The 24,836-nt window shown below is 41.6% G+C and overlaps 1 protein-coding gene, 1 long non-coding RNA gene and 1 pseudogene across 3 annotated transcripts in view, besides 2 other annotated features; 1 reads left to right on the top strand and 2 right to left on the bottom strand.

The window, feature by feature from the left end:
* The window catches only part of ANKRD55 (ankyrin repeat domain 55), a 133,651-nt gene that overhangs the window by 97,801 nt on the left and 11,014 nt on the right, over positions 1–24,836 (top strand). For both annotated transcript variants that reach the window (NM_024669.3, XM_047417710.1), the window contains 3 exons: positions 8,424–8,608; positions 18,748–18,915; positions 23,748–24,412. In NM_024669.3, coding sequence (NP_078945.2) covers positions 8,424–8,608; positions 18,748–18,915; positions 23,748–24,412 — 1,018 coding nt within the window. The remainder of the gene's footprint in view (positions 1–8,423; positions 8,609–18,747; positions 18,916–23,747; positions 24,413–24,836) is intronic.
* Positions 4,074–11,429, bottom strand: LOC101928419 (uncharacterized). Its single transcript, XR_241794.2, has 2 exons — positions 11,272–11,429; positions 4,074–9,099 (listed from the first exon to the last, which is right to left on the bottom strand). It is a non-coding gene; the product is annotated as an uncharacterized LOC101928419 (long non-coding RNA).
* On the bottom strand, positions 9,760–9,859 carry RNU6-299P (RNA, U6 small nuclear 299, pseudogene; annotated as a pseudogene).
* Positions 13,086–13,258: a silencer, noted in NCBI's record as "fragment chr5:55418099-55418271 (GRCh37/hg19 assembly coordinates)". NCBI's record gives its function as "represses an EF-1alpha promoter that drives an FKBP-Casp9 reporter gene in an ReSE screen in HepG2 liver carcinoma cells {active_cell/tissue: HepG2}" and the evidence as "EXISTENCE:reporter gene assay evidence [ECO:0000049][PMID:32094911]".
* Positions 18,354–18,648: a silencer, noted in NCBI's record as "tiled region #6268; HepG2 Repressive non-DNase unmatched - State 5:Enh". NCBI's record gives its function as "represses a minimal TATA promoter and a strong SV40 promoter by Sharpr-MPRA in HepG2 cells {active_cell/tissue: HepG2}" and the evidence as "EXISTENCE:reporter gene assay evidence [ECO:0000049][PMID:27701403]".

Raw genomic sequence — 24,836 nt, 5'->3', positions numbered from 1 at the left:
GGTGTGGTGGCACATGCCTGTAGTCCCAGCTACACGGGAGGCTGAGGCAGGAGAATCGCTTGAACCTGGGAGGCGGAGGTCACAGTGAGCCAAGATCGCACCACTGCACTCCAGCCTGAGCAACAGAGTGAGACCCTGTCAAGAAAGAAAGAAAGAAAGAAGGAAAGAAAGAAAGAAAGAAAGAAAGAAAGAAAGAAAGAAAGAAAGAAAGAAAGAAAGAAAGAAAGAAAGAAAGCAAGCAGGCAGGCAGGGAGGGAGGGAGGGAAAGAAGGAAGGAAGGAAGGAAGGAAGGAAGGAAGGAAGGAAGGAAGGAAGGAAAGTTGTGAGACATTTTTACCTTCTTCCTGATCTTAGTTGGAAAGCTTCTCATTTTTCACCTTGAAGTATGATGTTAGCTATAGGTTTTCTATAGATGCTCTTTACCAAGTTTAGGAAGTTCTTCTCTATTCCTAGTTTACTGAGAGTTTTTATTATGAATAAGTGGTGGATTTTCTCAAATACTTTTTCTGTATCTATTGATACAACCATGTGATTCTTCTTCTTTAGCCTGCTGATGTGGTTGATTACATTAATTGATTTGAAAATGTTGAGCTACACTTGCATACCTTGGATAAATCCTATTTGACCATGATGTATAATTCTTTTTTTACGTTGCTAGATTCTATTCACTAATATGTTGTTGAGGACATTTACATCTATCTTTATGAAAGTTATTGGTCTATAGTTTTCTTATAATATCTTTGTTTTGTTTTGTATTAGGGTGATACTGACTGATAGAATGAGTTAGGAAGTTCCCTAGGCTTCTATCTTCTGAAAGAGATTCTTAAAAAACCGTTATATTTTTCTTGAATGTTTGGTAAAATTTACCAGTGAATACATCTGAGCCTCATATTTCCATTTTAGAAGGTTATTAATTATTTATTCAATTTATATCTTTTTTTTTTTTTTTGAGACAGAGTCTCTCACTCTGTCACCCAGGCTGGAGTGCAATGACACGATCTCGGCTCACTGCAACCTCCAACTCCCGGGTTCAAGCAATTCTCTTGCCCCAGCTTCCCAAGTAGCTGGGATTACAGGCGCCTGCCACCACGCCAGGCTAATTTTTTGTATTTTCAGTAGACACCAGGTTTCGCCATGTTGGCCAGGCTGGTCTCGAACTCCTGACCTCAGGTGATCCACCTGTCTCGGCCTCCCAAAGTGCTGGGATAACAGGCGTAAGCCACCGCACCCAGCCTATTCAGTTTCTTTAATAGACATAAACGTATTCAGATTATCTATTTCTCCTTGTGGGTGTTTTGGTAGATTGTGTCTTTTAAGGAATTGGTCCATTTCAAATATGTTATCAAGTTGTGAAAATAGAGTTGTTTAAAGTATTTCTTCATCATTCTTTTAATGTCCATGGGATCTGTAGTGAAGTACCTTTTTTCATTTCTGATATTAAGTAATTTGTTTCCCTCTGTTTTTTTCTAGCCTGGCTAGAGGCTTATCACTTTTATTAATCTTTTCTAAGAACCAGCTTTTGGTTTCATTGATTTTCTCTATTGATTTTCTGTTTTCTACTTCATTGATTTCTTCTCTAATTTTTATTTTTTCTTTTCTTCTGCTTATTTTGGATTTAATTTGCTCTTCTTTTTCTAGCTTCCTAAGATGTAAGCTTATATAATTGATTCTAGATCTTTCTTCTTTTTTAATATATACATTCAAAGCTGTAAATTTTCTTCTGAGAAATTGTTTTTGCTACATCCCACAAATTTTGATGTTATCTTCCTTTTGTTCAAAGTATTTTTTTAATTTATCTTGCAATTTCTTCTTTTGAACCATGTGTTACTTATATTGTTTAATCTCCACATGTTCAGAAATTTTCCAGTTGTCTGTTGTTGATTTGTAGTTTAATGCTACCATGGTCTGAAAGCCTGCATTGTATGATTTCTATTCTTTCACTTTTGTTAAGGTTTGTTTTATGGCCCAGACTGTAGTCTATCTCGGTGAAGGTCCCATGTGAGCTTGTTAAAAATGTGTATTTTGCTGTTAGATGAAGTAGTCAGTAGACATCAATTGTATCCAATTAATTAATTGTTTTTTTTTTTTTTTGAGACGGAGTCTTCCTCTGTCACCCAGGCTGGAGTGCAGTGGCACAATCTCGGCTCACTACAACCTCCGCCTCCTAGGTTCAAGCCATTCTCCTACCTCAGTCTCCCCAGTAGCTGGGATTACAGGCATGCACCACCATGCCCAGCTAGTTTTTGTATTTTTAGTAGAGATGGGGTTTCACCATGTTGGCTAGGCTGGTCTCGAACTCCCGACCTTGTGATCTGCCCACCTCAGCCTCCCAAAGTGCTGGGATTACAGGCATGAGCCATCGTGCCCGGCCAATTAATTGTATTTTTAAGTTCAACTATATTCCTACTGATTTTCTGCTTTCTGGATCTGTCCATTTCTGATAGAGGGATGTTGAAGTCTTCAACTATAAAGCGGACTCATCTGTTTCTTCTTGCAGCTTTATCAGGTTTTGCCTCGCATATTTTGAGGCTGTGTTGTTCGGTACATAAGGATCGTTATGTCTTCTTGGAGAACTGACCTCTTTATCATTATGTAATACCCTTCTTTATCCCTAACAACTTTCTTTGTTTTGTAGTCTGCACTGTCTAGAATTATAATATATAGCTACTCCTGCTTTCTTTTGGTTAGTGTTTTCATGGTAAATCTTTCACCACTCATTCACTTTTAATCTATATGTGTCATTATATTTAAAGTGGGTTTCTTATAGACAACATATAGTTGGGTCTTATTTTTCTATCCACCCTGACAATCTCTGTCTTTTGATTGGTACATTTAGACCATTGATGTTCAGAGTGATTATTCATATAGTTAGAGTAACATCGATCATATTTGTTACTGTTTTCTATTTGCTGCCCTTATTCTTTTTTTTTTTTTTTTTTTAGATAGAGTCTCATTCTGTCACCCAGGCAGGAGTGCAGTGGCGCGATCTCTGCTCACTGCAAGCTCCGCCTCTCAGGTTCACGCCATTCTCCTGCCTCAGCCTCCTGAGTAGTTGGGACTACAGGCGCCCGCCACCACACCCAGCTAATTTTTTTTTTTTTTTTTGTATTTTAAGTAGAGACAGGGTTTCACCGTGTTAGCCAGGATGGTCTCGATCTCCTGACCTTGTGATCCGCCCATGCCCTTATTCTTTGTTCCTATTTTTGTCTTCTACTCTTCTTCCACCTTTTGTGGTTTTAATTAGCATTTTGTATTATTCTATTTTCTCTCTTTTCTTAGCATATTAGTTATACTTCCTTTTTTACTTTTTTAGTGATTGCCCTAGAGTATACCAAGTATGTTTACAACTAATCGAAATCCACTTCAAAATAACACTATACCACTTCATGGGTAGTGCGAATACTTTATAATAACTAAATGATTCTAATTCCTTCCACCTGTCCCTAGTATGATTGCTGTCATTCATTTTACTTATATATAAGCATACATAAGCTTATATATATGTATATAGATATAAAGATAGATGCATTAGCATACATTGTAGCTGTTAGTAATTTGAACAAACTATTATCTCCTAGGTTAATTAACAATAAAAAATAAAAGTTTTTATTTTACCTTCACTTATTCCTTCTTCAGCGTTCTTCTTTTCTTTACGTAAATCAGAGTTTCTGGCCTATATCATTTTTCTTCTCTTCTAAGAAACTACTTTTTTTTTTTTTTTTTTTTTTTTTTTTGAGACGGAGTCTTGCTCTGTTGCCCAGGCTGGAGTGCAATGGCGCGATCTCGGCTCACTGCAACCTCTGCCTCCCGGGTTCAAGCGATTCTCCTGTCTCAGCCTTCCGAGTAGCTGGGATCACAGGCACGCACCACCACACCCGGCTAATTTTTGTATTTTTAGCAGAGACGGGGTTTCTCCATATTGATCAGGCTGGTCTCGAACTCCTGATCTCAGGTGATCCACCTGCCTCAGCCTCCCAAAATGCTGGGATTACAGGCATGAGCCACCGCACCCGTCAAGAAACTACTTTTAACATCTAGTACAATGCAGGTCTACCAGTAACAAATTCCCTCAATTTTTGTTTATCTAAGAAAGTATTTATTGCTCCTTCACTTTTGAAGGACAGTTTCATAAGGTACAGAATTCTTGTTGATGGGAGGCTTTTCTCAACTCTTTAAGTATTTCACTCCAGTCTCTTCTTGCTTGTATGGTTTCTGAGAAATCAGAGGTAATCCTTCTCTTTGCTCCTCTATAGGTAAGGTGTTCTTTTCCTCTGGCTTCCTTCTGGACTTTTTCTTTATCTTTGGTTTTCTGTAATTGGAAAATAATATGCCTAGGCATAGGGTTTTTTGTTTGTTTTGTTGTTTTTTTTTGTTGTTTTTGGCATTTATCGTGCTTGGTGTTCTCTGAGCTTTTGTGTCTAACAATTTTTTTGGTAAAATTCTCAGTTGTTATTATTGTTTCAAATATTTATCCTGTTCCTTTTTCTCTTCTCCTTCTGGTATTCCTATTGCCTGTATGTTACACCTTTTGTAGTTCTCTCACAGTCTGTGAATATTCTGTTCTGTTTTTTTCAGTCTTTGTTCTTTTTGTTTTCCAGTTTTGGAGGTTTACATTGAGATCTTCTCAAGCGCAGAGACTCTTCCCTCAGCTGTGTCCAATCTACTGATAAGCTCATCAAAGGCATTCTTCATTTCCATTACAGTGTTTTTTATCTCCAGCATTTATTATTTGTTCTCTCTTAGGATCTCCATCTTCCTGCTTACATCGCCCATCTGTTCTGACATGTTGTCCACTTTATCCATTTACAGCCCTTAGCACATTAATCATAGTTGCTTTAAATTATTTATCTGATAATTCCCATATCCCTGCCATGTCTGGAACTGATGCTTGCTCTGTAGATATTGTGTTATTCACCTTTTGGCATGCTTTATAATTTTTTCTCGATAGCCAGACATGATGTAGTGGGTAAGAGGAACTCCTGTAAATAGCGCTTTAGTAATGTAATGGTGAAGTATGGGGGGAAGAGAAATGTACTATATCGTCCTATGATTTGGTCCCTGTCTTTTAGTGAACCTATGCCTCTGGAATGTGAATATTCCAAGTGATTCTCAGGATGTTTTTTCCCCTTCTTAGGTGGGACAGGATAGCTAGAGTGGGCTGGAGTTGGGTATTGTTCTGCTCCCATGTGGAAAGCTAGAGCTAGATGGAGTTGAACACTTTTCTTCCCTAAGGTCAATTAGGCTCTGATAAAACCTCAGTAGATTAGGCTCTGGTTAACTAGTTTCTCCGGAGGACAGACTTTATTAAGAAGAACAGAGTGCTCTGGTATATTAAAAAAAGGTACCTTTTCCCCCTCCCACTATTTCTATCTTCTGCTCTCTCTCCAGAAGAGGCAGCCCCAGGCTTTTGGGCTTGGCAGCCTCTGGAGTCCAGGCCAACTAAAAGCTTGGTCCAAAGGGGCTAACCATGAAGGCAGTCCAGATTCTAAGCCAGGGATATTAGGCACGTTTCTTTCTCTAGTTAGCCCCAGACCCTCAACCCTCAAACATTCACATGGAATAGACTCTAGATGTTCCTTTTGTCTCCATTCTAGTCTAACATGTCTGGCTCCAACCGATGAGCCAGGATCATCTTCTCACATCACAAAACCTCCCAGCTTTTTAGGAGGGATAAGCGGCTGCAACACAGAGGCTAAAGCACTGGCCTCTGCTTTATATGGTCACCATCACAAGACAAGCAATGCAAACACATCCCAGTGTTCAAGAGAAGGAAGGAGATTGGAGTTCCTGCCAAGAAGAAACCACCATAGAACATATTCCTTAGACATATGTTAGCAAATAAGCAACTAGTCTTAAATCGCCCACTAGACTCCTTTGAAGGTCACCTAGAATGTCTACAGTTAGGATATTGAGATCTTATTGTTGTTGTTGTTGTTTTATCAATCTGCCCGTAGCAAAATTATTACACATTAACTCGACTTTCTTCTTGGCAAGTCTTCTTATGAGTCAGGCTTCCCCAACTCTCCCCACTCATGACAGGTAAAGAGAAAACGACTAGGACTCAGTTCCCAATCATTTTCAGAATACATGAAGGCAATGTTATGGATTACTCATGAACAAAAACAAATAAATACAACAAAAACAAACTCACAATCATCATCTGGCAGCTCAGTGTAGAATTCTAGAGCTCCTTAAGAATAGGATATGTACAATACTGTTTCTTTCCCTATTTAATAACATTTCTACCCAATGTAAACCTACTCTCGATTCTTCCTAAGGACCCACCTGGACCACAGTCCCATTTCTTCTTGTCTAGTGTCTCCTGGTCTCTGTGACTTTCCCTACCTCCCAGGCCTAAGCATATTTTTGGCTGACACACAGTCTAGATTGTTAAGAAGGGAATTCTGTCACCAGGAGGCAAGTGATCCAGGGCCTTGACTTACAAACTAGTGTTTTCTAAGGCTCCCTGAAATTCTCCTGAGGGTGCACCATGGAAACCTTACTAGGAGAAACTCTTAAAGTACCCAAAGATTAACTGTAAAGGAGGTCTCAGTTGGTGAGGCACACGTCACTGGTACTGATGTAGGTCTAAACAGTTTTCACTTTAGTTCCTCCAGTATGAACATGCAGGATCAAATTAATAGACCATTCTTTTTAATCACAGACAGAATAGTATAGTGGTGAAGTCCAATGCCTCCACAGTCAATCCTGGATCTGCTCATTCTCAGCCGTGACAGAGGGCAAATTTCTTAATCCCTTATGCCTTCATTGTCTCCTGTACAATATGAGGACAATAATAGTACCAACCTTGTGGGATTGTTGTTCATGAGTTAGTACATGAAATGGCTTAGAAAGGTGCCAGGCCCAGACGATCACACAGTAAATACAGTTGTCACCATTCTTCCTGGGAGGATCTTCTTACAAAGAAAAGTAAAATACAAACAATGGTGCTATAAGTGAGATTCAGGTATAGAGACAAAGGAATTGTTTGGAGAATTTAGGACAAAAGGAAAAGAGTAAAGGTATGGAGTCTGTCTTTACTTATCCAGAGAGGCTGTCAACAGTACCCCAGCTACCAAGAGACCTGCTGCCTGGGACTGGCTGGCAGGATCCCAGAAGCAGCAGCCTCTATTTCAGTTTACCACTTCCAGAATGACTCCACCCCAGGGGCGAGGGAGGCGAAAGGAAGAGAGTACGAGTGTGGGGTTTTGTTTTCTCCATCTGCACTTAATGCTTCTTCTTCTACCAAGAGGGGAAACTATGAACAGGGTGTTTTGGCCTTTGAACCACCTTGACAGCTTGAATTCCTTTACTCTTCCAGGAAATTGTAAACAAAAAAGAATTGTTGTGCTGACACTCTTTTTGCTTCTATTTTCCTTATTGAATGGCTACTGCTTTTAAAGAAAAGTGTCTCTTGACTATCTAAAATGTATTTCAGACTCCTTCGATGTATGTCTAACTAGCATGAAGTGAAACAAACATAGAAAAGTTGATAAAGGCATGAAAGCTTAGGTGTGCTCACCTAAACTTTAGGTGACTTCTAAGTCACCTAAGTAAGCTTTAGCTGACTTCTAAGGACAGGCATGCCATAGAATATAAACAATGGGTCAAAGTTATTTAAAATCATTGTTAGACAAAGGAAAGATGGATGGAGGAAGAAGACGCAAAAGGGAAGATGATAGGAAGAGAAAGAAAAAGTTTGTAGCCAGAGATTGCTTTATGGATATGTAACCAGTGCAGCCACAGAGGGTCTGGTACTCAGATGGGACCCTGTGCTTAAGGCATAATGTTCTGTAGTCCCCATCTGGAAATTCTCACTTTATCTTTTAATTGTTTTTGTAAACGAAGTCTGATACAAGACTGTAGCCTCTGCTCAGACAGTTCTGCTTCCCAGGCTCCCTGGGACAAATTCTCAGCCCCCTGCTCCTTGGCCCTACCCCGAAACAAGCTTTTTAAGTGCATCACTGCGCCACCAATCAGTACTCATCATAGTCACTTCTTTAACATTAAGATGAACTCTGTCAGTTTCTTGGTGGTCAGCCTCTACAGCAAATGGGGACACAAATGATCAGACCTAATGAGCAAGTTGTTGTCTAGGTGGCCCACCGATCACTCTAGCTCTGACGTCAGTCCATTGCACCTGTATTTAATTTCAATCCATCCTTCGTTCACTAGTTATGGAAGACAATTTAGCTCCTGTGGGAGACAAAAATCTCTGCAGTGACTTGAGACAAGTGGACACTTGTTGGAGAGCTTAGATAGAGTGTATTTTTATTCTTTTTTTTCCATTTCCTTTTCTCTTTTCATCTTTTTTCTTTCTTTCTTTCTTTCCTTTTTTTCCTTTGTATTTTTATCTTAACATGCCTAGACAGAGAAGAACACTGGATTGTACATAATGGGCTTTCTTTGACTCTCTTTTCCAGAGTGGAAATAGGATTCTGTGCTCCATCATTCTGAGCCATCACCAGGGGCCGTCCATAATCAACTATGATGATGAGAGTGGGAAGACATGTGTACATATCGCAGCGGCAGCGGGCTTCAGCGATATTATTCATGAGCTGGCAAGAGTCCCTGAGTGTAACCTGCAGGCTCTGGATGTGGATGACAGGTATCCATGGTAACCAGAAAGTGCTGGGAAACTAGTCATTTCCCCCTAACTGAATCTTAAAATAAAGGAGATGTTTAAGGAGGTGTCCTATACAGCTATATCCCTATTGCCAGTAATACACATGGGCTTGTGACAATAAAAATTGCTCTATTTTAGTGAGAGGAGAAAAAATTATTGTTATGGAGAGGAAGACTGCGACTGTACAGTGTTGTCAGATTTTCCACTTTTTGCTAAATGTTCTCTGTGTTCTCAGAAGACGTTCTGTATTTCAGCTTCCTGCTATGTGCCCTCTTTGTTCCTAAAGGTAGGTTTTGGTTGTTTTTTTTTTCTTCATTCTTGGATTATGTTATAAAGTCCACAAGTTCTTTTATCCAGAGAAGAACATAATAGAGACTTTGTATTCTGGACTATTGGGCTTTTAGAACTGCAAGGAACTGTATCAGGTTGTTGTTGTTTTCGATCATCAAAGATGTATTGTCTGAAAAAGGAAGCTAGGTCCAAAAAGGTAAAAAGACTTCTGTCAGAGCTAGTTAGATACTAAATGAAGATTTGTACACCTGTCTTTCAAACTTGTAGCTTTTCATCTATAATGCCCTGCTTATCTAAACTGTTTTGGTTAGGCACTGAGTCAATGGAAATGTAAGAAAAATATAACAACAAACAAGACTATCAAAAATAAGTATAGACTTGAGCACTCTGGTTTCTTTATCCTCTTGTATTGAAGTGCAAAATTAGCCCCTTACTTGTAATTATTTTATTTTATTTTATTTTATTTTATCTATTTTTTTGAGATGGAGTCTCGCTTTGATGCCCAGGCTGGAGTGCAGTGGTGCAACCTCAGCCCACTGCAACCTCCACCTCCCAGGTCCAAGCGATTCCCTTGCCTCAACCTCCCAAGTAGCTGGAACTACAGGCTCCTGCCACCATGCCCAGCTTACTTTTGTATTTTTATTAGAGACAGGGTTTCACCATGTTGGCCAGGCTGGTCTTGAACTCCTGGCCTCAGGTGACCCGCCCGCCTCGGCCTCTCAAAGTGCTGGGATTACGTGCGTGAGCCACCGTGCCCAGCCTACTTATCATAATTTTAGATGCCCCAAGAAAGCACCTCCTACTCCCAGATACCTGAAATTCTTTTTTTAAAAATTATTTTATAAAATATGGAATACTTCACAAATTTGTGTGTCATCCCTGCGCAGGGGCCACGCTAATCTTCTCTATTAATACCTGAAATTCTTTTAACTCAGGGAAAAAATGGGGAGTTCTACATAGGTCTCAGAAGTTGGAGATGGTTAAATGACTTTAAGTAAAATTAAAGTATAAATCATTGAAAGTAGACATTTTCCAGCCAGTGTGGTGGCTCACACTTATAATCCCAGCACTTTGAGAGGCCGAGATGGGTGGATCACTTGAGGTCAGGAGTTTGAGACCAGCCTGGCCAACATGGCGAAACCCATCTTTACTGAAAATACAAAAATTAGCCAGGTGTGGTGGCGGACACCTATAATCCCAGCTACTCAGGAGGCTGAGGCAGGAGAATCGCTTGAACCCAAGAGGCAGAGGTTGCAGTGAGCCAAGATCGCGCCATTGCACTCCAGCCTGGGTTACTAAGCAAGCAAGACTCTGTCTGAAAAAAAAAAAGAAAAAAGAAAAAAGTAAGTGTTTTCCTAAGAGCAGATGTTGATCCTAAGCAAGTAAGAAAGTAGAAGAACATAAGCTACATTAGGAAAAAAGTGAATTAACCATTTTTTAAAAAAAGAACAAATTTCAGAAAGGCAGGCTGAGGGAAAGTTCATCTACTTCAAAACACTCCTAGAACCAGCTTTGAACAGAATAGTTCCCATTTTGCAATACCACCCACTTAGCAAAGAAAATCCAATTCTCTAGGCCTCATGGTGGAAAGTAAAACTAAGGGGAAAAAAGAAAGTACAAAGATAAGGAGAGTTCAAAAGGAAGTAAAATATCCAGAAGAGTCCTTTCCAATCCAGTACTCAATTCAGAGGCCTCATGTACTGATCAAATCCTAGCCTCCATTTTTTTCCACGTTTTCTGCAGCAAAACATGAAATTCTGCCTTCATGCTGAAGCTATAAGCTTCTGTTAATAGTTGAATTTTTCAGGGCCAGGCACAGTGGCTCACATCTATAATCCCAGCACTTTGGGAGGCTGAGGCAGGTAGATCACAAGGTCAGGAGTTCAAGACCAACCTGGCCAACATGGTGAAACCCTGTCTCTACTAAAAATACAAAAATTAGCCGGGCGTGGTGGCGCACGCCTGTAATCCTAGCTACTCCGGAGGCTGAGGCAGGAGAATTGCTTGAACCTGAGAGGCAGAGGTTGCAGTGAGCTGAGATTGTGCCACTGCACTCCAGCCTGGATGACAGAGCGAGACTCCGTCTCAAAAAAAAATTAAAAAAAACAAAAATAAATAGTTTAATTTTTCAAAGTTTGCACAGGTTTATGTGCTTTAAGTATTTACAATAATTGTGATTTCCCTTTCCTTCTTCTCTTTTTTAGTGAAAGTTTTTCCTATTGAAAGTTTTTGTGAAAAGGAAAGAAAAGTAAAGTAGTAATAAAAAGAGGTAGAAGGAAAATATGAAGAACTAGGCCTCCCAGATAGTAAAACACATCATAAGTCTATGGTACTTAAAACATTGTAGTACTTACCTAAGATATGACACAGAACACATAACCCAGAAGCAGCATATGTAGCTTAAGTGTTTCAAATTTCATCAGTCTATGAGGTCACAGTCCGCTTTAATATGCAGTTTACTTGTCTTCAGAGAGGAAAGTCTGTTACCAAGTCCTGCTCTCTGTGTATTTCTGGGAATTCTCTGGGGAATGTTTACATGTTTCATTAATCATTCCTCAGTCACTGATAGCTCAACCAACGCTGCATCCTTGGACCCATTATCTCCTGCCATTCAGCGGCCACCACATCCGCCCACTCTTGTCTCTGCTGAATTCCTTCTGAATCATGGGCCCTGCCCTTTAGCCCCCTGCTGTGACAGCTGAGGCAGATTGGCTGTGTTTGCAGGACATCCTGAAGCTTAGAGATAAGAAGGAGCTAAAGTTTAGACAACTTGAAATTAGGTACCACAGACTGGCCCCAAGGACATGAGTATATTAGAGATTATCTATATGCTCCCCTCGTTACTCAGCAAAACCCTGTTCTTCTGGATCGCTTCCATGTTGATGGTCAGAGGAATTTAAACAGTCGGTCTTAGTAATTGTCATGAAGGAGTATTTCACAAAGCTTCTGAGTGAATCATCACATGTTGGTAAGCCTGACTAGATCAACATCCAGCCCTCCATCTGCTGAATTTATTGGCAATACACTGTCTAAATGGGAGGACATAATCTGCTGGGGACCCGTCCTGTTTCAGAATAAATGTCTCCTGGAGACCTCTCTCACATAGAATGGAACTAATCACATCTGCCACATTCAAATATGCAGTGTGATTGATCACTGTGTTGAAAAATACATGGCCCTATTACGTGTTATAAAATTGCTGCTTCTAGCATAACAGGAAAAAGGTGTTTAATTGACAGAAGATACAATCTGTACCTGGTAATTCTGGGGCCACACAATATACATACATATATGCTCTCCAAATACTCATGTCCAACCCCGTTCACAGATATACCCAACCCAGCCCTTCTCTGTCCAGCTGCCAGGCTGCCTCCAGGCCTGAGAGACCACCTGGCCCTCTCAGAAGTGCCCTTCTGCCCAAGGTTCAGGCCCTGCACAAGGCTGAGGAGAGGTCTTCCATGACCTCCTTTCCTGCCCCAGGACTGCCCATTTCCCGAGTGACTTACCAGAGGGATAGTCATTCTTTGCACAGAAGACCCCATTCATAGGAATGTGGGCCAGGCTCACACCTGTAATCCCAGCACTTTGGGAGGCTGAGGCAGATGAATCCCTTGAGCCCAGGAGTTCGAGAGCAGCCTTGGCAACATGGCGAAACCCCATCTCTACAAAAAATACAAACATTAGCCGGACATAGTGGTACATGCCTGTAGTCCCAGCTACTCAGGGGGCTGACATGTGAGGATTGCTTGAGCCCAGGAGGTGAAGGTTGCAGTGAACTGTGATTGTACCACTGCACTCCAGCCTGGGTGACAGAGTGAGACCGTATCTCAAAAAAGGAATGTCAACTTGCCCTTTGCCCTTTGCCTCTCCCTACACCCCCAGAAAAAAATCAGAACATAGTTTTGTGACATCAGTACTTAATCCAAAATATAGTTATTCAATCTTTTATTTTTGGAGACAGAGTCTCACCCTGTCACCCAGGCTGGAGTGCAGTGGCACGATCTCAGCTCACTGCAACCTCCACCTCCCTGGTTCAAGCGATTCTCCTGTCTCAGCCTCCCGAGTAGCTGGGACTACAGGTGTGCGCCACCATGCCTGGCTAATTTTGGGTTTGTTTTTTTTTTAGTAGATTAGGGGTTTCACCATGTTGGCCAGACTGGTCTTGAACTCCTGACCTCAAGTGATCCACCCACCTCAGCCTCCCGAAGTGCTGGGATTCTAGATGTTAGCCACCGTGCCTGGCCTAGTTTATTCAATCTTGAATACAACTATGTGTAGAATCAAACGTCCAGTACCTTTTCACAGTATTTTCCAGGATGACCTGATGGCCAGGGCTAATCGTCTTTAGGCCACCTCCAAGCTCTCAAACTCTGATCTCCTGCTGGCAACTGCCTAAGCTACTACAAGTCCACAGCTTCCAAAAATAATAATGCATAGGCACAGAGCAGCTATAAATCTACACTTAAGAAACATTTTTTTAGAGTAAACATAATCTTCAGAGATGCAACTCTATCTCCCAGCAAGTTGACTTTTTATATGCTTCAGCTAAGCTTCAGCTTCTCAAACTTCTGTTTTAGATCGAAGTATTTGCTGTACATTAGGCACACTTAAAAACCCACTGGGACAGGTTACCAAAACACAGGCAGAGTCCTTCATCCAAGACAAAGCCAAGCCTTGACCTCCTAGAAAACAGTAGGTGCTCTTTAAATGAATAGTGGAAATTCTTATTTCTACTCACAGAGTTAAAAAAATTCAGGGTCTAATTCTACCCAGAATTATTTTGTCTTTGGTACAATAAAGAAAGCAGTATCACAAAAGTACCAATTTATTCGACCTTCTTGTTGGGAGCCTCTATATGTGCCAGAACCACACAGTGAGTGAAAGGCTCCCATTCCCCTCCCACGTGGAGCATACAATCTTTTTTAAAAAGTGGTGGAACACTGGCCGGGTGTGGTGGCTCACTCCTGTAATCCCAGCACTTTGGGAGGCCCAGGCGGGTGGATCACGAGGTCAGGAGATCGAGACCAGCCTGGCCAACATGGTGAAACCTCATCTCTACTAAAAATACAAAAATTAGCTGGGTGTGGTGGCGGGCGCCTGTAGTCCCAGCTACTCGGGAGGCTGAGGCAGGAGAATCGCTTGAACCCCAGGGGCGGAGGTTGCAGTGAGCCGAGATTGTGCCACTGCACCCCAACCTAGTGACAGAGTGAGACTCCATCTCAAAAAAAAAAAAAAAAAGTGGTGGAACACTTACTATATCAAGTATTTATGTTATTTTACAGCCCAGAGTTTTAAAAGTTATAATGATTTTTATCTATAATTTAACCTAATTTCTATTTTTGAGTTATCTCACTAGATTAGTAGGAAACCTAAACTCGTCTTTTAAAGCCCCCCACCCCACTTGCCTTATTGTGTGTGCCTTGGTTCTGGAATTTTATACAATGGGTGTATAGGAATAGAGATGGAGGATGGCCCCTCGTCTTCTGTCCTTATCCCTTCAGGTCAGATGATGTTCAGCTGTGTCAGTGCTGTGCTTGGGCACGGGCGCCATCTTGGCCTGCCTGTGGTCCCATTGCCTAGACAAACCACAGACATTCCCCATCCCTCGCTCCTAGTATCTCTGCTAGTGAAGCAAGGTTCTTGACCCCTTTGCTCCTGAGTCCAGTGGTCCTTTATGCTCTTGTCACACCATCTTTTTTTTTTTTTTTTTTTTGAGACGGAGTCTCCCTCTGTCGCCCAGGCTAGAGTAGCAGTGGCGCGATCTTGGCTCACTGCAACCTCTGCCTCCCAGGTTCAAGCAATTCTCCTGCCTCAGCCTCCCGAGTAGCTGGGATTACAGGCATGTGCCACTACGCCCAGCTAATGTTTTGTATTTTTAGTAGAGACAGGGTTTCACCGTGTTAGCCAGGATGGTCTCGATCTCCTGACCTCGTGATCCGCCTGCCTTGGCCTCCCAAAGTGGTGGGATTACAGGTGTGAGCCACCATGCCCAGCTGTCCCACCTCGTCCATTGAAGGGGGACCACCTTTCCAGTGCTGGGGGAGCCATTTCCATTCAGATGTTTAGTTAAGTATTTTCCCTTTGCTCTGAAGTTGCTCTCAGTCCCAAGCTTGGCTTTTGAAAGCAAAAATACTTTTCCCTTCCTGACTTTGCAATATTCCTCCCCTGAGGTTGAGCACAAAGTCAACCATCCCCTTAAATAGGGGAAAGAGGCGAGGTAGAAAATATGTATAGAGATCAGGATCTTAAAATATAATCCCACCACATGAAGAAATGGTGTTAAGAGGGCTTGGTGCGGTGGCTCACGCCTGTAATTCCAACACTTTGGGAGGCCGAGGACGGCGGATCAGGAGATCGAAACCATCCTGGCCAACATGATGAAACCCTGTCTCTACTAAAAATACAAAAATTAGCTGGGTGTGGTGGCCCGTGCCTGTAATCCCAGCTACTCGGGAGGCTGAGGCAGGAGAATAGCTTGAACCAGGGAGTCGGAGGTTTCAGTGAGCTGAGATTGCACCACTGCACTCCAGCCTGGCAACAGAGCAAGACTATGTCTCAAAAAAAAAAAAAATGGTGTTGAGAAAAGTTGGCTATGTAATTACAAAAACAGTCAAATTGGCTCTGACCTCACTGCACATACCAAAATACGCATATAGACACACACACAGGTTTTGTTTGTTTAGTTTTTGTTTTTTGAGACAGGGTCTCGCTCCATTGCCCAGGCTGGAGTGTGGTGGCAGGATCTCGGCTCACTGAAGCCTCAACCTCTCTAGGCTCAATCAATCCTCCCACCTCAACCTCCTGAGAAGCGAGGACTACAGGCACGTACCCATCACATCCAACTAATTTTTATATTTTTTTTGTAGAGACTGGGTTTTGCCATGTTGCCCAGGCTGGTGTCGAACTCCTGAGCTCAAGCAATCTCCCACCTCTGCCTCCCGAAGTGCTGGGATTTCAGGCATGAGCCACAGTGCTCAGCCATGGTTTTTTATTTTTAAACCAAATAAATCTAGAATACTGGTGTTCTTTTTATTTACGTTCAGTAAAATTTACTTTTATGGTGTACAGTTCTATGTGTTTTAACATGCATGAATTCATGTTACCACCACAAACAGAATTCAGAACAATTCCATCAACTCCAACATCAACTCATGTCCTTCCATATAGTCAAGCCCTCTCCCATCCCTAAGCCCTGGCAACCACTCAATAGTTATCTGTCTGTATAGTTTTGCCTTTTCCAGAAGGTCATGTAAGCGGAAATATACAGTAGGTCATCCTTTGAGACTGATTTATTTGATTTATTTCACTTAGCAGAATGCATTTGTCACTCATCTATGTTGTTGCATGTATCAGCAGTCTGTTCTTTTTCACTACTGAGTAGTATTCCAGTACTACTGGAATAGGATGAACCACAGTTTGTTTGTCCATTCACCCACTGAAGGACATTGAGTTGTTTCCAGTTTTTGACAATTATGATAATGCTTCTACAAACATTTGTGTACCATTATTTCTGTGAATGTAAGTTTTTATTTCTCCAGCAAAATACTTAAAAGTGGGATTTGTAGGTTATAAGTATGTGTTTAACTTCGGAAGGAACTGCTAAATTATTTTCCAGAGCAGCTCTTACCACTTTACATTCCCACCAGGAATGTATGAAAGTTCCAGTTGCTCCATATCTTCACCAGCACCTGGTATTGCCAAGCTTTGTTCTCTTTGGGTTTTTTGGTTTGTTTGTTTGTTTTTCTTATTTTAGCCATCTTCATAGGTGTGTATTGGTATTTCATTGTGGTTTTAATTTGCATTTCTCTAATGACAGATGTTATTGAGTACCTCTTCATGTGCTTATTTACCATCCATATATCTTCTTTGACGAAATGTCTATTCTGATCTTTTGCTAATTTTTAAAATTGGTTTATTTTCTTATTGTTCCGTTCTGAAAGATTTTATTATTTTATTTTATTTTATTTTATTTTATTTTATTTATTTTTTGAGATGGAGTCTCGCTCTGTTGCCCAGGCTGGAGTGCAGTGGCATGATCTCGGCTCACTGCAAGCTCTGCCTCCCCGGTTCACACCATTCTCCTGCCTCAGCCTCCCAAGTAGCTGAGACTACAGGGCCCGCCAGCATGCCTGGTTAATTTTTTGTATTATTAGTAGACACGGGGTTTCATCATGTTAGCCAGGATGGTCTCGATCTCCTGACCTTGTGATCCACCTGCCTTGGCCTCCCAAAGCGCTGGGATTACAGGTGTGAGCCACCGCACCCAGCCAGTTCTGAAAGATTTTATATACTAATTACCAGTATTAGTAATACTTTGTTGACTATGTGATTTGCAAATATTTTCTCCCAGCCTATGGCTTGTCTTTTTATTCTCTTAAGAAAACACTGGTTATACAGTTTAATAAAGGTTTAAATACTGGTGAATATTTTTATACCTTTTGGCCAATGAAGGACTTTTTTCTTTTTTTTTGAGACAGAGTCTTGCTCTGTCGCCCATGATGGAGTGCAGTGGTATGATCTCGGCTCACTGCAACCTCTGCCTCTGGGGTTTAAGCAATTCTCATGCCTCAGCCTCCTGAGTAGCTGGGACTACAGGCACATGCCACCATGACTGGCTAATTTTTGTATTTTTAATGGAGACAGTGTTTTGCCTTGTTGGCCAGGCTGCTCTTGAACTCCTGACCTCAGATGATCCATCTGCCTCAACCTCCCAAAGTGCCAGAATTACAGGCGTGAGCCACTGTGCCTAGCCATGAAGGACTTTTTAAACATAACATCATGAAAGAAAGAAAAAATGAATAAGGAATTAAATGTGATTTTTTTTTAAGTTTTATAGAAAAATCACTTAAAAATTGAAAGTCAGCCAGGCATGGTGGCTCACGCCTATAATCCCAGCACTCTGGGAGGCCAAGGCGGGTGGATCATGAGTTCAGGAGTTCAGAACCAGCCTGGCCAACATAGTGAAACCCCGTCTCTACTAAAAATACAAAAATTAGCCGGGTGTGGTAACATGTGCCTGTCATCTCAGCTACTCAGGAGGCTGAGGTGGGAGAATCGCTTGAACCTGGGAGGCGAAGGTTGCAGTGAGCCAAGACCACACCATTGCACTCCAGCCTGGATGACAGAGTGAGACTCTGTCTCAAAAAATAAAATAAAAATAAAAATAAATTAAAAGTCAAGTAACAAATTACAGAAAATGTTTTCATAAACATAACCTATAAAAGACCAATGCCTTTAATATAAAGAGCACATACAAATTAGTAAGAAAAACACTTATACTTTAATAGAAAAATGACAAAAGGCATTAGTCATTTCAATGAAGAAACTCAAATGGCAAACAAACTTATATTTCAAAAGTTCAAACCTTACTATAAATTAAATAAAAAGGAAAATGACAGTGAAGCATATTTTGCCTACCAAAATGGACAAAGATTTTTAAAGTTAGTGACAATACTCAGTATTACAGAAGGAGGAGAAACATAGCTAGTAGGAGGACAAATTGACTCAATCTTCCGGAAGGCAGTTTGGCACTATGTATAAAGAACCTCAAAACTGTTCATACCCTTTGACCCACTACTTCCTCTTCTAGGAAATTGTTAGAAAGGCCAGAGAGTGTAGATGGCAGGGAATACTTAGAGCTAGAGGAGAGGCCCCTACACATGTCCACCATCATCCTTCGGGCTCATTTAACACTTACTATTTCTATACTGTAAATGGCAACAAGATTTTCCCTACCTCAACCTGACTTTGAGCAGGAGCTGTTGCTGGCTAAGCAGCCTGAACAATTCACATGCTCAGACGCTTGTGCTTTTTTCACATGGCCCCTCCAGGACACCTCTGCACTGGGCTGCAGCTGCAGGGAAGGCCGAATGTGTCCAGTCACTGCTGGAGTTGGGAATGGACAGCAACCTGCGGGACATCAATGAGAGCACGCCCTTGGCCTATGCCCTGTACTGCGGTCACACGGCGTGTGTCAAACTCCTCTCCCAAGAGAGCAGGTGAGTACAACAGGAGCCAGTTATTTTTCTATTCTTCTCAACTATTTATAAATTTGGATGAAATGTTTTAAATTGCCAAGGTGCAAACCAATAATAATATTATTATACTTTTATAATATAATTAATGTTACATAGTATTAAAGACATTAAATGATTCTATAATTAACGTTTGCCATTATCTAACACAGAATAAAGTGCTCTTGGAGCAAAATGATAGTAGTGAATCCAAATCCATCAGCCTAATATTCACTGAACTTGAATCTCTTCTTTCCTTTTCTCTCTTTCCTCTTCCCTTTTTGGCAAATCCTCTGAATCCCTCTTTTGCCTAATTTGATGAGTCTCAAACTTTCGTTCTCGGGACCCTTTTACACTCTCAAAAATTATTAAGGGCCCCCAGATAACTTTAGTTTATGAGAGTCAAACCCGTCAATATTTATGGCATTAGAAATTAAAACCGAGCGGCCAGGTGCGGTGGCTCATGCCTGTAATCCCAGCACTTTGGGAGGCTGAGGCAGGTGGATCACCTGAGGTCAGGAGTTCGAGACCAGCCTGGCCAACATGGTGAAATCCCACCTCTACTAAAAATACAAAAATTAGCCAGGCATGGTGGTGGGTGCCTGTAATCTCAGCTACTTGGGAGGCTGAGGCAAGAGAATAGCTTGAACCTGGGCGATGGAGTTTGCAGTGACCCGAGATCACTCCATTGCACTCCAGCCTGGGTGACAGAGTGAGACTCCGTCTCAAAAAAAAATTAATTAATTAATTAAAATGAGAAATTTTTAATAAAATATGCATTGTTATCCATTTAAATTAATAATAAACATTACATTTACATGAGAACATAAATAGCATATTTTAATTAAAAATAAAATGTTTTATTTAATATTTCTATTTCCCAAAACAAAAATATTGTCATGAGAAGAGCAGCATTGTTTTATATTTTTGGCAACTCTCTTTGGTAGCTTAATACAAGCTTAATAGAATACAGCTGCGGGCTGGGCATGGTGGCTCACACCTGTAATCCTAGCACTTTGGGAAGTTGAGGCGGGTAGATCACCTGAGGTCAGAAGTTCAGCTAGACCAGCCTGGCCAACATGGTAAAACCCCATCTCTACCAAAAACAGAAAAACTAGCCAGATGTGGTGGTGCGTGCCTGTAACCCCAGCTACTGGGGAAGCTGAGGCAGGAGAATCGCTTGAGCCTGGGAGGTGGAGGTTGCAGTAAGCCGAGACAGTGCCACTGCACTCCAGCCTGGATGACAGAGCAAGACCGTCTCAAAAAAAAAAAAAAATAGAATAAAGTGGGTTCCACATCTACTCTTTGCATTCTCTCTGTTGCGATGTAATGTGTTTTGTTTTTTGGTTTGGGGGTTTGCTTATTTATTTATTTATTTATTTATTATTATTATTATTTTTAGAACCAGAGTCTCACTTGTCATCCAGGCTGGTGTGCAGTGGCATAATCATGGCTTACTGCAACCTTGAACTCTTGGGCTCAAACGATCCCCTCACCTCAACCTCCTGAGTAGCTGGGACTTTAGGCATGTGCCACCATGCCCAGCTGGGTTTTCTTGTTTTTTGGTTTTTTATTTTTTTGTAGAGATGGCCTCACTATGCTACCCAGGCTGGTCTCAAACTCCTGGCCTCAAGCAGTCCTCCCACCTTAGCCTCCTGAAGTGCTGGGATTAGAAGTGTGAGCCATCATACCCAGCCACAGTATCATGTTTTGATTGATGTATATAAAAACGATCCAGCCTTATATAAATACGTAGTTGGAAAAGGCAGGTGTATCTCAATAGGCTTTTCAGATAATTGTGTGTATTTTTCTTTGATACGATACCAAAACTTAACAAGCAGCAGTTTCTTAAAGGTTAATTGCAATGTGGATTCTCACCATATCAATGAATTTTTTGTACTCTGTCACATTAGAATACATTACTATACCTTATACTTTAAATGGGTCTTATACACATGCGTGATTTTATTAACACCTTGCATTGGTCATTTGGAAAATATTGGTTCACTTAATTATAAAGATCTTCCAGATGACACATTTCATTATACAATATCAAAAAGTCACATTTGTTAACATCACCACCAATCTATTGGACAAGCTTTATATACTGAGATGGTGTCAAGCTTACAATGTGAATATAAGTTTTCCAAAATTCTAGTTTTTGCTTGAAAGCTAGACTTTTGTCATTGGCTACAATAACTGTCAGTTATTTATCTTGAAATGAAATATTCACTGTATTCGTTTTATTTTATTTATTTGTTTATTTATTTTGAGATGGAGTTTCGCTCTTGTTGCCCAGGCTGGAGTACAATGGCACGATCTCGGCTCACCGAAACCTCTGCCTCCCAGGTTCAAGTGATTCTCCTGTCTCGGCCTCCAGAGTGGCTGGGATTACAGGCATGTGCTACTACCCCTGGCTAATTTTGTATTTTTAGTAGAGACAGGTTTTCTCCATGTTGGTCAGGCTAGTCTCTAATTCCCAACCTCAGGTAATCCACCCGCCTCGGCCTCCCAAAGTGCTGGGATTACAGGCGTGAGCCACCACGCCTGGCCCACTTTATTCATTTTAATATATTTTTATTGTATATATATATATATATATATATATATATAGTATACATATTTTGATATAAATATACCTAGTCAGATGGGTCGAGCGCAGTGACTCACGCCTGTAACCTCCACACTTTGGGAAGCCAAGGTGGGTGGATCACTTGAGCCCAGGAGTTCAAGACTAGCCTAGCCAAGATGGCAAAACCCCATCTCTACTGAAAATACCAAAATTAGCTGGGCGTGGTGGCATGCACCTGTAATCCCAGACACTTGGGAGGCTGAAGCACGAGAAATACTTGAACTCAACTGCAACTTTGTACCCTTCGACCTACACCTCCCATTCCCCCACCTCACCCTCACTTCTGGTAATCACTGTTTTACTCTCTGTTTCTGTGTATTTCACTTTATTTATTTTGCAGAAATTTCTGCAAATACTTAGCTCTACATAACCACAGTTTGTCTGCAAGGCATAAAAATGGTGTTCCGTGAAAAAAGTGTCCGGTTCAGCCCGCGACTCAAACAATTGCACAGCTGCTTTACCCCAAGACAATCATCACACCTCCGTATATAGTAGAATTGCTTACGAGTGCTTCTTATTTTGTCAAACAAGTGTACTCAAGTTAATATTTAATCAAATTAATAACTTGTACTCCCTAAACAAGGACATTATTAAGTTAAAGGACTTTTTTTTTCTGCAAGTACATTGATGCCACTATTGTCCTGATTTGTACTGAGGCAGCCACCATTTTACCCACCACCTCTATTGCACCATCGATGCAAGGCAGCACAGTGAAAAAGACAAATAACGTTGTGATGTTATTATGAATAGAGTTTAATGCCATAAACCCCTTAAAAAGTCGGGGATCCCTCTCCAAGGGTTCAGTGGACCCCATTTTGAGACCCAGAGGCCTAAAGCACAAGCTGTAACAGGAGGAGGAGATGGCTTACACAAGATGCTGCAATAGCATCAATTCACACAGACATATTCTTTATAGGGAAACTTGAGCGTCGGAAGTGCCCTGGGGCTCTCTCTCTGGTGGTATTAGGAGTCTAGAATTCAGTATTTCAAAAAGCCCATTGGAAGGTGAAAGAATAAAGATAAGACTACATCATGGAATAAAAATTCAAAGGATGCACTGTGTGACCTGTAGAGAAAACATTCATTATATGCATCCAAAATAAGTGGTGATGTTTTTCAAATTGCAGATTGCGATATCTCACTCCAGAAAGTAGTGTTGCAATCTGACTCAGGGGCACACACACGGGTCAGGTTTCATCGTTAATTCATACCGCAGAAAGCATTAAGTCAATTGGAGCCTCAAAAGAGAATCACACAGAATTTTCTAAGGAACACAAACAGAATCTTGCCTCAGGGAACCTCTCGACAACTGCTGGCCTTTTTCCTTTATAATTTGCCTGCGCATTGGGCATTGCTCACTTTCTTCTGCAGCCACGCCCGACCTTGGTCATGCACTCCTCCTCTTCCCTCGCTGGAGCCCAGACTAAAGCTTCTTTCCTTGGTTGTTTTTTTTTTTTTTTTTTGCTAGAGATGAGATCCTGCCATGTTGCCCAGGCTGGTCTCAAACTCTTGACATCAAGTGATCCTCCTGCCTCAGCCTCCCAAAGTTCTGGAATTATAGGCATTAGCCACCGTACCTGTTCTTCAGCATACTTTTTTTAAAAGTACTTTTCGATAGGAAAGTTTTAGTTTAAAATGGGGAGGGGTCTCTGAGGGGGATAATGTCAGTCGGTCAGCACTCGGTCCAGGTTTTCTAGGATCTCTGTCAGAGAAAGCCTAAAACCACATTCCCCCCACCTCAGCAACCTCCTCCATCCTTCTGCTCATTGAAGCCTGAACTCAAACCCTTAGGCTTCATCTCTGACTTCAACTTGCGTGCCTACTGACTGTCCTTGAGATGTGAGAACAACACTTTCAGCTAATTTTCAGTTTAGTTAACCTCTTGTTGAAAACAGATGATCTAGGTGTAAATTTTGAAAGGATATCCCCTGAAGGAGCAAGAAAAATCTAAGAAACGTCCTCCTTGGGCAAAGACTGCCCATGGTAAAGAGCCTCTTCTGGGCGGGATTGCCAGGGGTACTGTGAGTTCTTCACACTGCCTTTAACTTGAGAAGGCTTTGGAGGTATCTAGGAAGGATCTCAGAAAACCTGATGAAGCATGTGGAATAGGGGGTCGGTATTTCGGTGAGTGATGTCTCTACTTCCCATACTCACATATCATCCCTGCTCTTTTATATTCGCATAGAACAGAGCCTACTCGACCCCCTCCCTCCCAGAGCAGTCGGCCCCAGAAGAAGGAGAGACGGTTCAACGTGCTCAACCAAATATTCTGCAAAAACAAGAAAGAAGAGCAGAGAGCCCATCAGAAGGATCCCAGCAGGGACCGATACAGAGAGGAGGACACCTCAGAAGTCAATGACATCATCACCACCTTTGATAGCATCGTGGGTACCAACTGCCAAGAACAGCCTGGTGATCAGGTGGCTATGGTTGAATTTAAGAAGAAAACCTCAGACAATTCAAAATATCTCTTACCAGAAAAGAAACCGCTGGCCCGTAAGGGGCTTCCACCAATCAGAACGCAGAGTCTCCCACCCATCACCCTGGGCAATAACTTCCTAACAGCCTCCCATAGGGCCACTTCCCATGCAGGCCTGAGCTCTGCTCCTCATCATATGGCCCAGCGATCTCAGAAAAGTCGAAGTGAGCAGGATTTATTAAATAACAGAACTGGCTGCCAGATGTTACTAGATAACCCCTGGAAGAGTGATTCTAATCAGGTATTTTCCTACAAAGTTTGGACTGTGTCTTCTTCTGATAAGCTGCTGGACAGATTGCTCAGTGTCCGGCCTGGTCACCAAGAGGTCTCCGTGCCACCACACCTTCGCCATCTACATAATCCATCATCAGGTAATGTCCTTGATTTCATGTTCATTCTCAGCAGGCTCTATACTGGAAATGTCCCGTACAGTTTTAAGCTAGGAACTGGAGTGACAATAGCCTAGAAGGCAGGGTGAGAATAAAATGAGTGATTAGAGCCACCTTTTCTCCCAAAGTGCACTGGATTTGAGATTTCTGAGCTGTGAAAACATTCTGCTTCTCCCCTCTTCAAGTAATCATCAAGTACAAATATGTGCCTTCTCATCTCCCCAGCAAATATGTGTGGTATGTACCAGATTGGAGCAAGAATATTACTATTTCCACTAGCAAGGATTCTTAACTAGTGTGTGGCAAATACCTGTGAGGAGTTTGTTTGTGTGATTGTTTTTAAATCAGGCATTCAATCTCCACCCCAGACCTACTGAACCAAAATCTTGGTGAGGGAACAGGGAAA

Source organism: Homo sapiens, chromosome 5, assembly GCF_000001405.40.
Source record: "Homo sapiens chromosome 5, GRCh38.p14 Primary Assembly".
In the NCBI taxonomy this organism is placed as follows: domain Eukaryota; kingdom Metazoa; phylum Chordata; class Mammalia; order Primates; family Hominidae; genus Homo; species Homo sapiens.
This window is presented reverse-complemented; position numbering and strand designations above follow the sequence as displayed.